This window comes from Homo sapiens, chromosome 4 (genome assembly GCF_000001405.40).
Source record: "Homo sapiens chromosome 4, GRCh38.p14 Primary Assembly".
Taxonomy (NCBI): Eukaryota; Metazoa; Chordata; class Mammalia; order Primates; family Hominidae; genus Homo; species Homo sapiens.
Genome location: NC_000004.12, coordinates 92,575,649 through 92,589,183, shown reverse-complemented (window position 1 = coordinate 92,589,183; position 13,535 = coordinate 92,575,649). Strand labels below are relative to the sequence as shown.

Below are 13,535 nucleotides of genomic sequence, written 5' to 3'. Positions count from 1 at the left end.
GTGTATTATAAAGCCAGTGTGGAGCTGGCTTTATCTTTTCACTGCTCTTTTTGTTTGGTTGGTTGGTTGGTTGTTTTTGAGATGGAGTCTTGTTCTGTCGCCTAGGCTAGAGTGCAATGGCGTGATTTCAGCTCATTGCAACCTCCGCCTCCCGGGTTCAAGCCCTTCTCCGGCCTCAGCCTCCCGAGTAGCTGGGATTACAGGTGCACGCGAACACACTCGGCTATTTTTTTGTGTGTTTTTAGTAGAGACGGGATTTCACCATTTTGGCCAGGCTGGTCTCGAGCCCCTGACCTCACGTGATCCACTTGCCTCAGCCTCCAAAAGTGCTGGGATTAAAGGAGTGAGCCGCTGTGCCTGGCCATCACTGCTCTTTTATATTGGCATGGATTGTATCAGTCTCCTCAAGCCATAGCCTTGTTTCCTATATATTTTGAATACCTGTCCATGGCTGAGAACTTGAGAGAAACTAATGAAGAATTTTTTTTTTTTTTTTTTTTTTTTTGAGACGGAGTCTCACTCTGTTGCCCAGGCTGGAGTGCAGTGGCGCCATCTCGGCTCACAGCAAGCTCCGCCTCCCGGGTTCACCCCATTCTCCTGCCTCAGCCTCCCAATTACCTGGGACTACAGGCACCTGCCACCGCGCCCAGCTAATTTTTTTTTGTATTTGTAGTAGGGACGGGGTTTCACTGTGTTAGCCAGGATGGTTTCGATCTCCTGACATCGTGATCCACCTACCTCGGCCTCCCAAAGTGCTGGCATTACAGGCGTGAGCCACCGCGCCTGGCCAGAATTTTTAAAATTGACATATAAATTGAGTACTTCCTTAATATGTTATCAGATGTTTACTAGTGAGAATATTATTATTTTATTAATCAAATATATATTATAGACTTTAATTTTTACTTAACCTGTCTTTTCTGAACCAGATAATGCTTTTTAATCTAAGCTCTTGTAAAAACATTTAGACAATAAATGTTTGACCTATCTTGCTAATTTAAGCAGCTTTCATAAGAATTATTTTAATATGTGATAATCCTTTGTAGATCTAGATTAATCATTACATTGAAATTTAATACTCTCAGGTTTAGATATACAAATTTCTTTAATAGTTTGTTAGGAAGTATGATACAAATTTTTTACAATTGAAGCTGAAATAACCAATTCATTTTAAACCAGATAATCTAAATGTCTATTCGCAAAGTAGTAATGTGTGTTTATACAAAGATGTTTCAAGTTGTCGTGGGTTCTAAATGAGTCTTTAAAAAAGGGCTTCTTATCAACCTTGTTTTATAGCAGGTGACGTTATTGACTTCTGCTGTATTGGTAATACATTTTTGATGGAAGCATTTTACTATTACATGGCAGAACACTTAATATTGCCTTAAACATTAAACTTGGGTTAATAAACAGCAGAAACCTGCAGAAATGATAGCACATTAGTCAATCCTTTGCAGAATTAAGATATACTGAAAAAATGGATAAAAGAAACAGTTCATCTTTCTGCAAACAGCAAGGAAGTACACAGAAGAAACAGTTCATCTTATTGCAAACAGTGTAATCAAAGAACAGAAAATCTTATCCAACATTTCAAATCCCAGTTATTTATTTACTTTTTTCTTCAGCTATAAAAATCTCATCTTAAACTGACTTTGTACTACAGGAGTGCATGCAGTATTTTGTCTTCAACACAAGCATTCTGAAAACAATGTGATTAGTTCCACAGGAAGGATCCTGGGACAGAAATTCCTTTCTAATTTCACCCACTTCCAATAGTCACAGCAAAGTCATCTCTATTCTTTGTATTAATATACAAATATTACCAATCTAGATAATCCAATACTATAGGTACTAGATCTACTTTGTTAACTATATAGTTGCTCAAATGTAACATTCTTAACTATGTAGTTAACATGATGTCAAAGCATCTAGATCCTTCTCAGGTATTTTTATTAGCATGATTTTACACTCAGTTTTATTTTATAACCTTCATGGGAAAAGCAGATTAGACCTGTCAATATAAAATAATTATTCCACCACTGACACACACACACACACACACACACACACACACACACACACACAGCATTTCATCAGTACTCTCTATATATTTCTTATTGGCCAAACTGAAGGGAAGAATAACCAATCAATAAAGCAGGAAAGGAACACCTCCTGAATATTCCTATTACAGCAATTTTTAGTCATTTCCATCACTAAAGGTTGATATTCTGTTCCTTTTATGGGGGGAGAAATAAAGGCTTTATGTAATCCTTATACAAACATACTGACATGCAAGTGGCCAAAATATATATTTTTAAATGAAAACTATATCATGTTTACATGTCTTCTTATATCTTAGAAAAATATTAATGTTTATGAGTTTGTACTACATGTAATGCTACTGAAAACAATTTTCACGGACTAATGGACCAATTAGCATATATATGAAAAAAATACCAAATTTAGACAAAGTTCTACAAAAATATAATTGTCAACTTAATTACAATTTATAGTAATATTAAAGCAATGATAATGGCTTAAATTTTCATTGTGAAGTGTCATATGTAAAAGTATTAATGCAGGTATGCCCTTTGAAAATTCATAAATTATTGTACAATTCAAAGCTAACTGACAAGCTACAGTACTTCTGTTAAAAAAACATAATTATGTTTTAGAAAGGTATTTAAATATTCCCAAAATACATATACTTACTTGCCAATTTTTAAAATGACAATCCAAATTTCTTCTTTTAACCTAATAGATATATGCTTGGTGTCTGTGTGTGTGTATGTGTGTGTGTGTGTGTGTGTGTGTGTGTGTGTGTGTGTAGATTTTTTGTGCTTGAAATAAGTCAGTACTTCAGATCATAAAATCATTTCACCCAAAAATACATTCACAAATATGCCTTTTAAATAAAATATTTATAAGTTCACTAACCTAACCAACTCAACAAGTCTCCAAACATTCGAAGATTTTTCTCCTTCTTGGTTTTATTTTTGGTGTTTCCTCTACCACAGAGGTAGTCCTTATCAATTAGCAAAATATAATTTCCTAGGCCATATAATCTATTTTTATACTTACACTGTGTATAAAAGAGCCTGAATAGTTTAGACACTCAAGAATCATTGATTAAATCTTTTTAACATTAAATTAGGTATAATCTTATAAAATAGATATAATCTTATAAAATAAAATACCTAAATTCAGATGTATGGATAAAATATAAGTTACACCTAAACCTAAATTAAAACAAAAGTAGACTTGAAAATGTACTTGCATGTTAATTTGTTGTCACAGGCATTATTACGATTCCAGAAAACCCAAGTTAGCAAGGTAATAATCATACACAAGGTAATTAATAATCATACTAAAAACTTGCATTTTAGTTTGAATATTGAAAATTTTGTGTCTTATAAATTTAAGAGGCAAGTGGAGTAAACATTATTTACCTGATAAGATAGTAGAGAAAAAATTATGTGTTCATCCTGCACATAATTTCCTCTAACAATATTGAGAAAAAATTTGATATATCTTGAAGAAATTTTCCACAGCGAATAGAATTATTGGAAGATATACATATTCTATAACAACCTTATCAAGTTGTGTTTAAAATAAAAGACTCTAAATATTGAAACCAAGCATCAACACATCTACATTCCTCTTGCAAATCAATAGCATATCATCTAGAAAAACTTATATAAAAACATTTGTGCATAAATATTTCGTTGGATTTCATAATTCCAAATAAAATCAAAGATAGCTGATCTTTATTTTTTAGTCAGAAAGTTCAAACTTTTTAATCTCTTTACTCACTTAATTTTGACTAACATATAAATTATATATGGTAGGTAATCATAAAAGGAATAAACTTAACTGAAAGTTAGCAAAGATGCTACATGCAATGAATCTTTTATTTTCTTTTTAACAACAGAGATGATTCTTTTGTGCATGCTCTCACTCTCTCTACCCCCCAAATTTTTCCCCTCACTTTTTCTCTTTGTGTTCACACATTCATGCATCCAGCCATTCATCCATCTATTCATCAAACCAATCTTTCCTAAACACAGAGAAAACCATCAAAGCCAAGCCACTGTGCTCTTTAACAAATTATTTAGTGGCCAAATATTTGAAATGGGTTAAGTGTTTAATAAAGCCATAGTGGAAATAAGATGCCATAAGAAGATCATGAAAAGAAGGAATCATGTTGTTTTTGTAAACTCATAGCTGAAAGGAATTTTAGAGATGGTTTATGAAAACCTTCTCATGCTTCATAAATTGTAGTGCAAACATTTTAAATGTTTTCACCCAAATTACACAGCCAAAGGTTACAAGATGTAGAGTAGGAGGTTAGGTGTCCTTGTTTCAAGTTTGGAGCTATGTCTGCCATTTTATGCTTTTTTCACTTTAAGCATTTTTTTTTATGGTGGCTATATATAGACAGAGGGTACATCAGTACATATATGTGTGTGCATATACACATATACATATATATTCAATAAATAGTACTATAATGATGATTAGCATATTAAATCCATTTATTTTAAGCCATGAAGGTTATAAAATTGATGAAATGTAGTAAAATGCTGATCGTAAGACTAGTTTTACATGAAATTTAATTCCTTTGCCTGAGAAGCTTCAAAAACTTTAGTTTAGGAAGTTAAAATAAAGAAAAAAGTGCAACCTTCTGCCTTGGGGAGTTTATTAGTCACAGTAGGATTTACAGTTCTGCAGAGCTATTCAGAATTGTTAAATCATCATATATCCTTTCTGTTTTAGATGCTACTATTCACAAGTGAGTTTTTAATTTAATTCTGACAATGCATTTTGCATACACGTTAGTTGCACTGTAAGCATATATCCAAGTCAAGAGATTTATAACATTTTTTTCATCTACAAATGGCATTCCTACAATTGCCAGTGGAAATTATACAGGCATTTTAAAAGGAGGGCAAATAATAAAAGGCATTATAAATATTGTAAAAATCAGATTTCTCCTTTATTTCATTGTCTCATTCATGTTACCCTCAGTTCAAGGAGAAAAAATGTTAAGCATGTTCAAAACTACTAGGTAGTAAGAGAAATTAGCAGTATTATGACCAAAAGAGATTAGCGTTTTTGATACAATTTAGTATCTTTACTTAAGCATAGATAGTATCTTTGACACCAATAAGCATCTTCACTTAGCATAGTATCAGCTACTATTTCAGTGGGATATCATTACAATGAAGGTGAAGGCAATGTTTGTACATATATATATATACATATATGTGTATATAAATATATACACATATATATGCACATATGCATATGTGTATATATTTATGTAATACATGTTCATGTTTATATATTTATATTACACATGCACAAATAGGTACATTTATTACATACTCACATATATATTACAACTGTGTATATGTAATGAATGTACATATGTGTGTATGTAATAAATGTGCTTATTTGTGCGTGTGTTTATATATAAATTATATGTATATTATATATGTGTATGTGTGTGTATATATATATATATAATTATTATCTGCTCAGGAAATATTAATTAAGTTGATATATCATTCACAATTTAATTCTGTATTACAAATGTTTCAGCAGCCTCTTATTTAACAGAACATTTCCTAATATGTTCTATGCTAATATCCTTGCAGGCATGAAATAGGGTTTTCAGAACCCTGTATCTTTTTATCATGAGGTATATTTTTCTCAGTTCATCTTATCTAACCCTTCACAAGCACTCTGACTGACTAAAGAAGGAAACCAAAACAATGACTCTAATTGTTGGAAAGGAGGTGCTGGATATACATCAAATTCATGACAATTAGCAAATATTATTCTGAATTAGAGACAATTGTGCTCTGTTGTGTTTCTCTCCAATTTATAATAATTGAAATATTAGAAACACTGGCAGTTAATATTTTTTAGTACTAGGAACTGTACTAAGTGGCTCATAGACATTATTTTATTTAGTTCTGATAAAAACCCTTTGAGGGAAATGAAACTCAGGTTAAGTAACTTTCCCTAGGCCCAAGCTAGTAATAATTGCTGCAGAATCCACAGCTCTCAGTTTCTTAGCAATCTTCTGAAAACACTAGAAGCTTAATAACTGGCAATATATACATTAAAACAAATTTCCAGATAAGAAAATAATATGTATATTTTTACTTTCATAATAATATATATAGAGAGAGACAGAGTCTTTCTCTGTCACCCAGGCTAGAGTGTAATTATACAGCCATGGCTCACTGCAGTCTCAATCTCCCCGACTCACCTGATCCTCCTGTCTCTGCTCCCTGAGTAGTTGGAACTACAGGGGCATGCAACCAAGCTTGGCTAATTTTTAAATTTTTTGTAGAGACTGGGGTCTCACGTTGTTGCCCAGGCTTATCTCGAACTTCTGAGCTCAAGTGTTCCTCACTTGAGAAACTATACTATCACTGTACCTCTGCATCCCAAAGCGCTGAGATCACAGGCATAAGCCACAACACCCATCATTTCATAATAATTATAATAAAATTTTATTGTATATTAAAATTCTCAAATAGGTTTCAGTCTTACATTTTGTTTTATAAAATTTTATTAATTAGGCATATTTTTATAAAATTTCTAGTACTTTTTGCATACTTTGAAGTTCAATATTTGTCTCAGTGATTTAATTTATACTATATCAGAAGTTGATTTACCTGTTTTTATACAAACTTTATATTTAAGGGTGTTTAGGGATAATTAATATATATAAAGATGTAAATTGATATGAATTTCTAAACCTTAGTTTAAATAACAATCTTTGCAGTTACCTTGGAATAGTGTTAAGTGAGTTCCAATAGAATATGGACTATGACATATTTTTAAATGCAGAATTCAGAACAAATCTCTAGCCTTTCAATTTCTAAGGAGTTTTGTTGTTGTTGTTGCTTACTTTAGTGACGAATAATCCTAAGAGAGTGACAATAAAATATAAAATAAAAATTGTATAAAATATATAAAGTTATTGACTTTATATATTAAGGAACATTGATAATTTACTTAGGTCTATAATATTCAAATTGTGGCCAGGTACAGAAACTATCTGGCTCGTTATTTTCCACTGTCTAGTGCTTACTTAGCACTTTGTTCTGAGAGTTCAAAGTGCCTTATAATATTAACTTCCATTCCACCCACCATAATTAGTTAGCCTATAGGAAAGCATCATTTTTATTTTAAACATAGGAAATCAAGTTCAAAGAGGATATTGTCAAGATCACAGAGGGTATTAGTTATGATATAGTGTAGAAAGGTATGAGTGGAAGGAGAAAATTCCACGCAGATATTTAAAATGATTATACAGAAATCCTTGAATGTGCATTGTAATTTACATTTAGCTAGTGTCCGAAATATTTTTAATAATTCAGACACCTTTAAATTCTGTTTTCTTCAATATATTTTTGATATAGTGACTTAAAATGAGAAGGTCTAAATCATAGACCAAGAAGAGAAATTTTCAGTACTGTCTCCAGAGATTTCTCCAGAGATTTATGTTTGAATGTGACATTTGCTCATAGTGTGAAATAAGTCAAATTCAAAGGGATTCTTCATTCTAACACAAGACCCTTTTCTTAGCCTTACTCTCCAATAACATGTGAAATCACATTTCGTTTGGAAAACCTGTATAGTTATCCAGAAACCCAAAGCACATTTAAACTGATAATACTATCACTGGAAAAGTCTGACTGCTGTGTGTCTTCCAGAAGTATGTGGGAGAAAAGGAAATGTAGGGTGCTTGCCTAAGGAACAGGTAAGCTGAGTCATCCACATGGAGCATAGTAAGAGGTTAATTTTTAAAATAATTTCATGTTGGAATATCAATCCTCTCAGAATAGTTTATGCATTTTATACTAGTTTAGTGAATAAACATTTCAAAGATCAATTCTTTGAATAGGAATACTTTGCAATTTTTTAAAGAGTACTTGTGACTATTTCTAAAAAAAAAAAAAAAAGGGTGGGGGGACTGGACAGTGAAAGCTCAAATATCTGGATTTTTTCTTGTATAAAGGCAGCAATGTTTAACTCTAAATTAGTTTACATCTCTTCTTACTGAATCCGTGAAGATTCAACCAGAACCTTGTGTGCTATGTTGCAGTCTCTTTCTCTATTGCATACATCTAATTGAAACAATATCCTATTATTACAAAATTCTGCCATGACAAGAACAAAAAGAATTGGTTTGACAATAGACACTTTGAACACTGCACACCAATTCAAATTCTTCCCAAACTGACCTGATGCATTTAAAAAAAAAAAAAAACAAATAGGCAAAAAGCTGATAAGGTAGCTACTGAAAAGTATGTTCATGGAGAAAAGTTGCAGATATTTTTAGAAATTGAACAGATTTAACATTTTTCTTCTTGTAACAATTTACTCTACCTTTTTAGTATTACCTTCAACTTCCACAAAAAAAATGTGAGAATTGGCCTATACTACTATAAGTAAAATCATATGCCAAAGAAATATCTGTATGAAACCATAATGTGAATGTGATCCTCTTAGAAGGGTCAAACTCATTTTGCACACAAATAATATAGTGTAGGCTGTCTTCTACAGAGTAAAAATTCTAATTTTATGTTTAAGACAAAAATTTACTCTACTTTGAGATGAAAAATCATTTTACCTATCTGAATGGGCCAAAATAAATAAGTTTCTTGTAATTGAGCATTTTAAAACTTCTGTAAACTACTGTTTTAGTTCTAAAGTAACAGATTGCAGCCTGTAGAATATTTCAGGTAGGAAAATGGTACTCTTCCAATATAAATCTCAAACTTCATAATTTATTAACTCTGAACTCATTTGTAATTTTTTTCTTCTTCTTTATTACATGAATGTACATTTAACTAGCAACAATGAAGATTTTACAGATATCCACTGATTATTTTTCCAATATGTCCTATAAAATATACAGATATTTCCAGGGAATTGCCATGTAAAATATTTCAAAAGCATTAAGAAAACAGAAATTCTATTATAACTGTAGACTAGACAACTGTAAAGGAGACATGAGTTTCCCTCAGAAGGACGGCAAATTTTCTAGGTATTTATTAGCTGCAATATATATAACAGCAAATTATACTATATATATATTTATATGTATATATGTAGATATGATGAAATTAACTGAGTCCATTATACTATATATAAAATATATATGTAAAATACATATACATATATAAAATATATACACATATATAAAATATATATATTATATACATATGTATACATATATAGTATAATAGACTCAGTTTCATCTTTTAAGATCTGTATCATAGTCACAGTCTCTGACATTTTGTATATCAATTACTTAAGAAAAATCAATTTCTAAATAGTATTTTAATAATAACTTGCTAGAAAATAAACCTTACAAAATGGTCAAAGTTGTGTATGCTTGCCACTGTAAGTTTTATTCATACTAAGAAAAAAGAAATAATGTTTTTAAACTTTATCATTTTTGTAGGTTATCTCTCTTAATCCTCATTTTACAGTTGAGGAGACTAAGAATCAGAAAAGTTAGATGAATTACTTAATCACATGCTAAAACATACATGATATAGGACTTAAATCTAAAACTCTCTGGGTTCCAAGACCTATAGTTTTTATCCTATATAAACTGTATCTATGTTAAAAATGTAGTCCATTCTTGAGAAAAAATATTCTGCTTTTGGAATAATGTGTTAGGGAAAGAGAAAAACAGTGAATGCCTTCAAACTGTGTTCTTAATTTATTTTCTTAGACAGTTTGACACCAAGACATGGAATGTAGTAATCCTCTTTTGAAGAAAAAGAAACAAAAAAGAGCTGGAAAGAGTGAATAATTTATAAATGATTTGTGGGCCATGTTAAAAGCGATGATAGAGTATACACTGTGGCCTTTTAAACACATATTGAAAAATTATCTAAAAGTCAAAATATGTCCAGCAAGAATGTTTACTTATGGAACTTGATATTAAGTAATTTACCACAGAGCTCAAGTTAAAAAAAATAAAATAAAAGTCACGTTTGGATAAATTCTTATGCCCTCCTGGTGTATGAAGACCATAGTTGAAGTACATAAGGGAAACATAAGGAGATTTCTCGGGATCTTCTACTATGATATATATCTTAAGACTTCAGATTAAAACTCAAAAAATATTGTTGTTTAAATAAAAAAGAAACAAGTTTCCTTCCTTTAACATAAGCTATAAAGCAAATTGGCAAACATTTGTATCTGTGAATTCTGGTTTTTTGGTAAATAGATGAAAATTTACAGTGACCTCGATGTGCATTTCAGTGTTTTGAAAATTGTGATCTAATGATGAAGTAATCTGGTACTACATTATTAAGAGTTTGAACAAAATATATATGATGCATGTCAAAATGGTAATTACAAGAATTCAAATATGTAGATAGATAGATAGATAGATAGATAGATAGATTGATAGATAGATAGATAATGATATTTTTGTTGTTGAAATGAGTTTGCCCAGACTGGTCTTGAACTTCTGAACTCAAGCAACTGCCTCAGCCTCCAGAGTGACTGGGATGACAGGTGTGAGTCACTAGGCCATGCTTCCATAAATTTCTGAAGATGTTATTCTCTATTTAATTATGTTGTTTTCCATATATCTTTTGCTTTATTAAAGAGGTAGCTTTTCAAGCTTTAGGCAGCCAGACCTGAGAGGCTCTATCTTTTAATAATTCCATTTTAAATAAAAATGATGAGTTCATGTCCTTTGTAGGGACATGGATGAAATTGGAAATCATCATTCTCAGTAAACTATCGCAAGGACAAAAAACCAAACACTTCATGTTCTCACTCATAGGTGGGAATTGAACAATGAGAACACATGGACACGGGAAGGGGAACATCACACTCTGGGGACTGTTGTGGGGTGGGGGGAGGGGGGAGGGATAGCATTAGGAGATATACCTAATGCTAAATGATAAGTCAATGGGTGCAGCACACCAGCATGGCACATGTATACATATGTAACTAACCTGCACGTTGTGCACATGTACCCTAAAACTTAAAGTGTAATAATAATAATAAGAAAAAGAAGAAGAAGAAGAAGAAGAAGAAGAAGAAGAAGAAGAAGAAGAAGAAGAAGAAGAAGAAGAAGAAGAAGAAACTAAGTTTCAGAAAATTTTAGTAAGTCATCCCAAATCTTCACTTGAACCTTGGAAAAAACACCATTTAATTTATGTGAGATTCTCACTGAGACTTTGAGGCCAGCTAATCCCATCGTGATTCACCACTGGCATCTTTGCTTACCGCCCAAAATGTATATCTCTAACCATTCATCAGCTCCTCATTTTCTTTATATTGTTTTTCCTTTGACAAAAGCCCACCATACCTTTACACAATGCTAATTGTTCTCCACTCTGACCACCTAATTCCATGGTAATTCCATTTCATTAATATTTTCAACTCCTTTATAGAAGAATCCTAGCTTTTATTAAATTCTAGCTTTCTCTAGAGGACCTTGCTCTTCCTGTAGTCCTTTCAACTGGAGATTTATTTTTTCACATACCAAGTCCTGTTACAACCAGCTAACATTGCTTAGCTCCTCAAAAACAATGCCAAACAGTTACTCTTCCATTATGGAGTAAAATCATCTCTTCTGAATCCCTTGCCATTTAACTGTCCTACCCTCTGATCCTTCTCATCACTGTCACTTGACTACCTCCTGCCCAGATGACTAAGTTCATTTTGTAAATTGAAACCTGGTTCAACATCTTTCTCTCTGTCCTCGGTCCTACCATCATCCTTGGTGATAACAGTTGACTTATTTACCTTAGTAACAACTCAATCTCATTTTTCTTAATCCTAATGTTTATACCTCCACTAAACCCACAGCCAGTGACAGGTCCCTGACATCCCCTGTATACTCTATATGAGAAATCTTGAAATCTATTATCTAACACTCTACACAGTCTTTTTTTCAAGACTCATTCCATTACATCTGTTCTTCAGCCACAAAGAAACTTCCAGTCCCCTGATCACTGAGTTGATGGAGATTCCATTTTACAGAAACAGTGATAACTGACAAAGTAACAAGAGGTAAATCAATGGTTCCCTTTCGAATATGCTATGCTTCTGAAGCCTATTAAAATCAAAATGGAGAATTTATGTTGGCAATTAAATATGTAGAAAATGGAGCTTAAGAGAAAGATGTCTGAACTGCAGACATATATTTGAAAGTAATCAAGGTACCTTTGGAAATTAAAAATCTGAGACAAGATGTTATCATATTAAAAAATAGCCCAAAGAGAAAGAAGAGGGGCTAGAACAGATCCCAGACCCAGAATGAAAAAAAGCAGGGTGGGGCAACGGCACACCCAGGAGCAATGGCCCACCCAGGAGCAACAGAGCCAAGGGATCTCCAATACCAGCTAAGGGAAGCGATGAGTGATTGTGTGATCCCAGGAAACCACACTTCTACCACAGAGCTTTGCAAACCATGGATCAGGAGGTCCCATCATGGGCCCATGCCACCAGTGTCTGACACACTAAGCTGGGCAAAGTCTCAGGAGACCAGATGCTCAGGCACATGCAGAGATCCAGGAGCTTTACATACTCCAGCCCCAGGAACCCTGGCAAGGTTGTCTGCAGCTCAAGCAAGGCAGAAGGTCCTTCCTAGGAGATGTCCCTAGGAAGGGGGCTGAATCCAGGGAGCCGAGCAGTGCCAGTCTTCAGGCCCAACTTCCATAGCATCTCACAGGATAAGACCCACTGGTTTGGAATCCAGAGCAGCCACCAGCAACAGAGTGGAGCCTGCCTGAGAGGAGATGGAGCCCTCTGGGGGAGGGACCAGGCCACCATATCTGCTGTTTAGTCCAATCAGCTATTCCAGCTTGTGGGTTTTGGAGAGTCCAAATGGTCCGGACAAGGAAGGATTCCAACAGTGCAGCACAGCTGCTTTGCCAGAACATGGCTGGAGTGCTTCCATAAGCAGGACCCTGGTCCATTCCTTCTCAGTGGATGGGACCTCCCAGCTGGGGTCTCCAGCCATGCCTGCCTGCACATATTCTATAGATAAAGTGCTGACTTCTCTCTGGTACAGAGTGCCCTCGGGCAAAGGCAGATTGCCACCTTGGTTGTTTAGACAACTCAGCCATTCCAGCCTGTGGGCTTTGGAGAGTCCAAGCCAATGGGCAGAGGCGGTTCCTTAGCATGGCAGAGCTGTTTGTCAAGACATATCCAGACTGCTTCTTTAAGGGGGACCCTGATCCACTCCTTCTCATGGGAGGGTCCTCCCAGCCAGGGCTTCTGGCCACCCTGTCCATGTTCAAGAGCCAACAGTTCTAATTTCTCTCTGGGAGGGAGTGTCTGGAGAACAACGGGGGTGGCCACCACCTTGGCTGTTCAAATATCTCAGCTGGTCCAGACTGTGGGCCTTCGAGAGCCCTAAAGGATTGGGAGCTGAAGAGTTGCCCAAGGACTCCAGCCACCTCCTACAGGAGGGTTCAGGCTGGCAACCAGTCAGTATCCCCTGGAATGGAGCTTCCAGAGGAAGGGAC

General features: G+C 34.1%; 1 protein-coding gene across 5 annotated transcripts in view; it reads right to left on the bottom strand.

Annotated features, from left to right (window-relative positions):
• The window catches only part of GRID2 (glutamate ionotropic receptor delta type subunit 2), a 1,506,491-nt gene that overhangs the window by 1,221,273 nt on the left and 271,683 nt on the right, over positions 1-13,535 (bottom strand). The window lies entirely within an intron of this gene.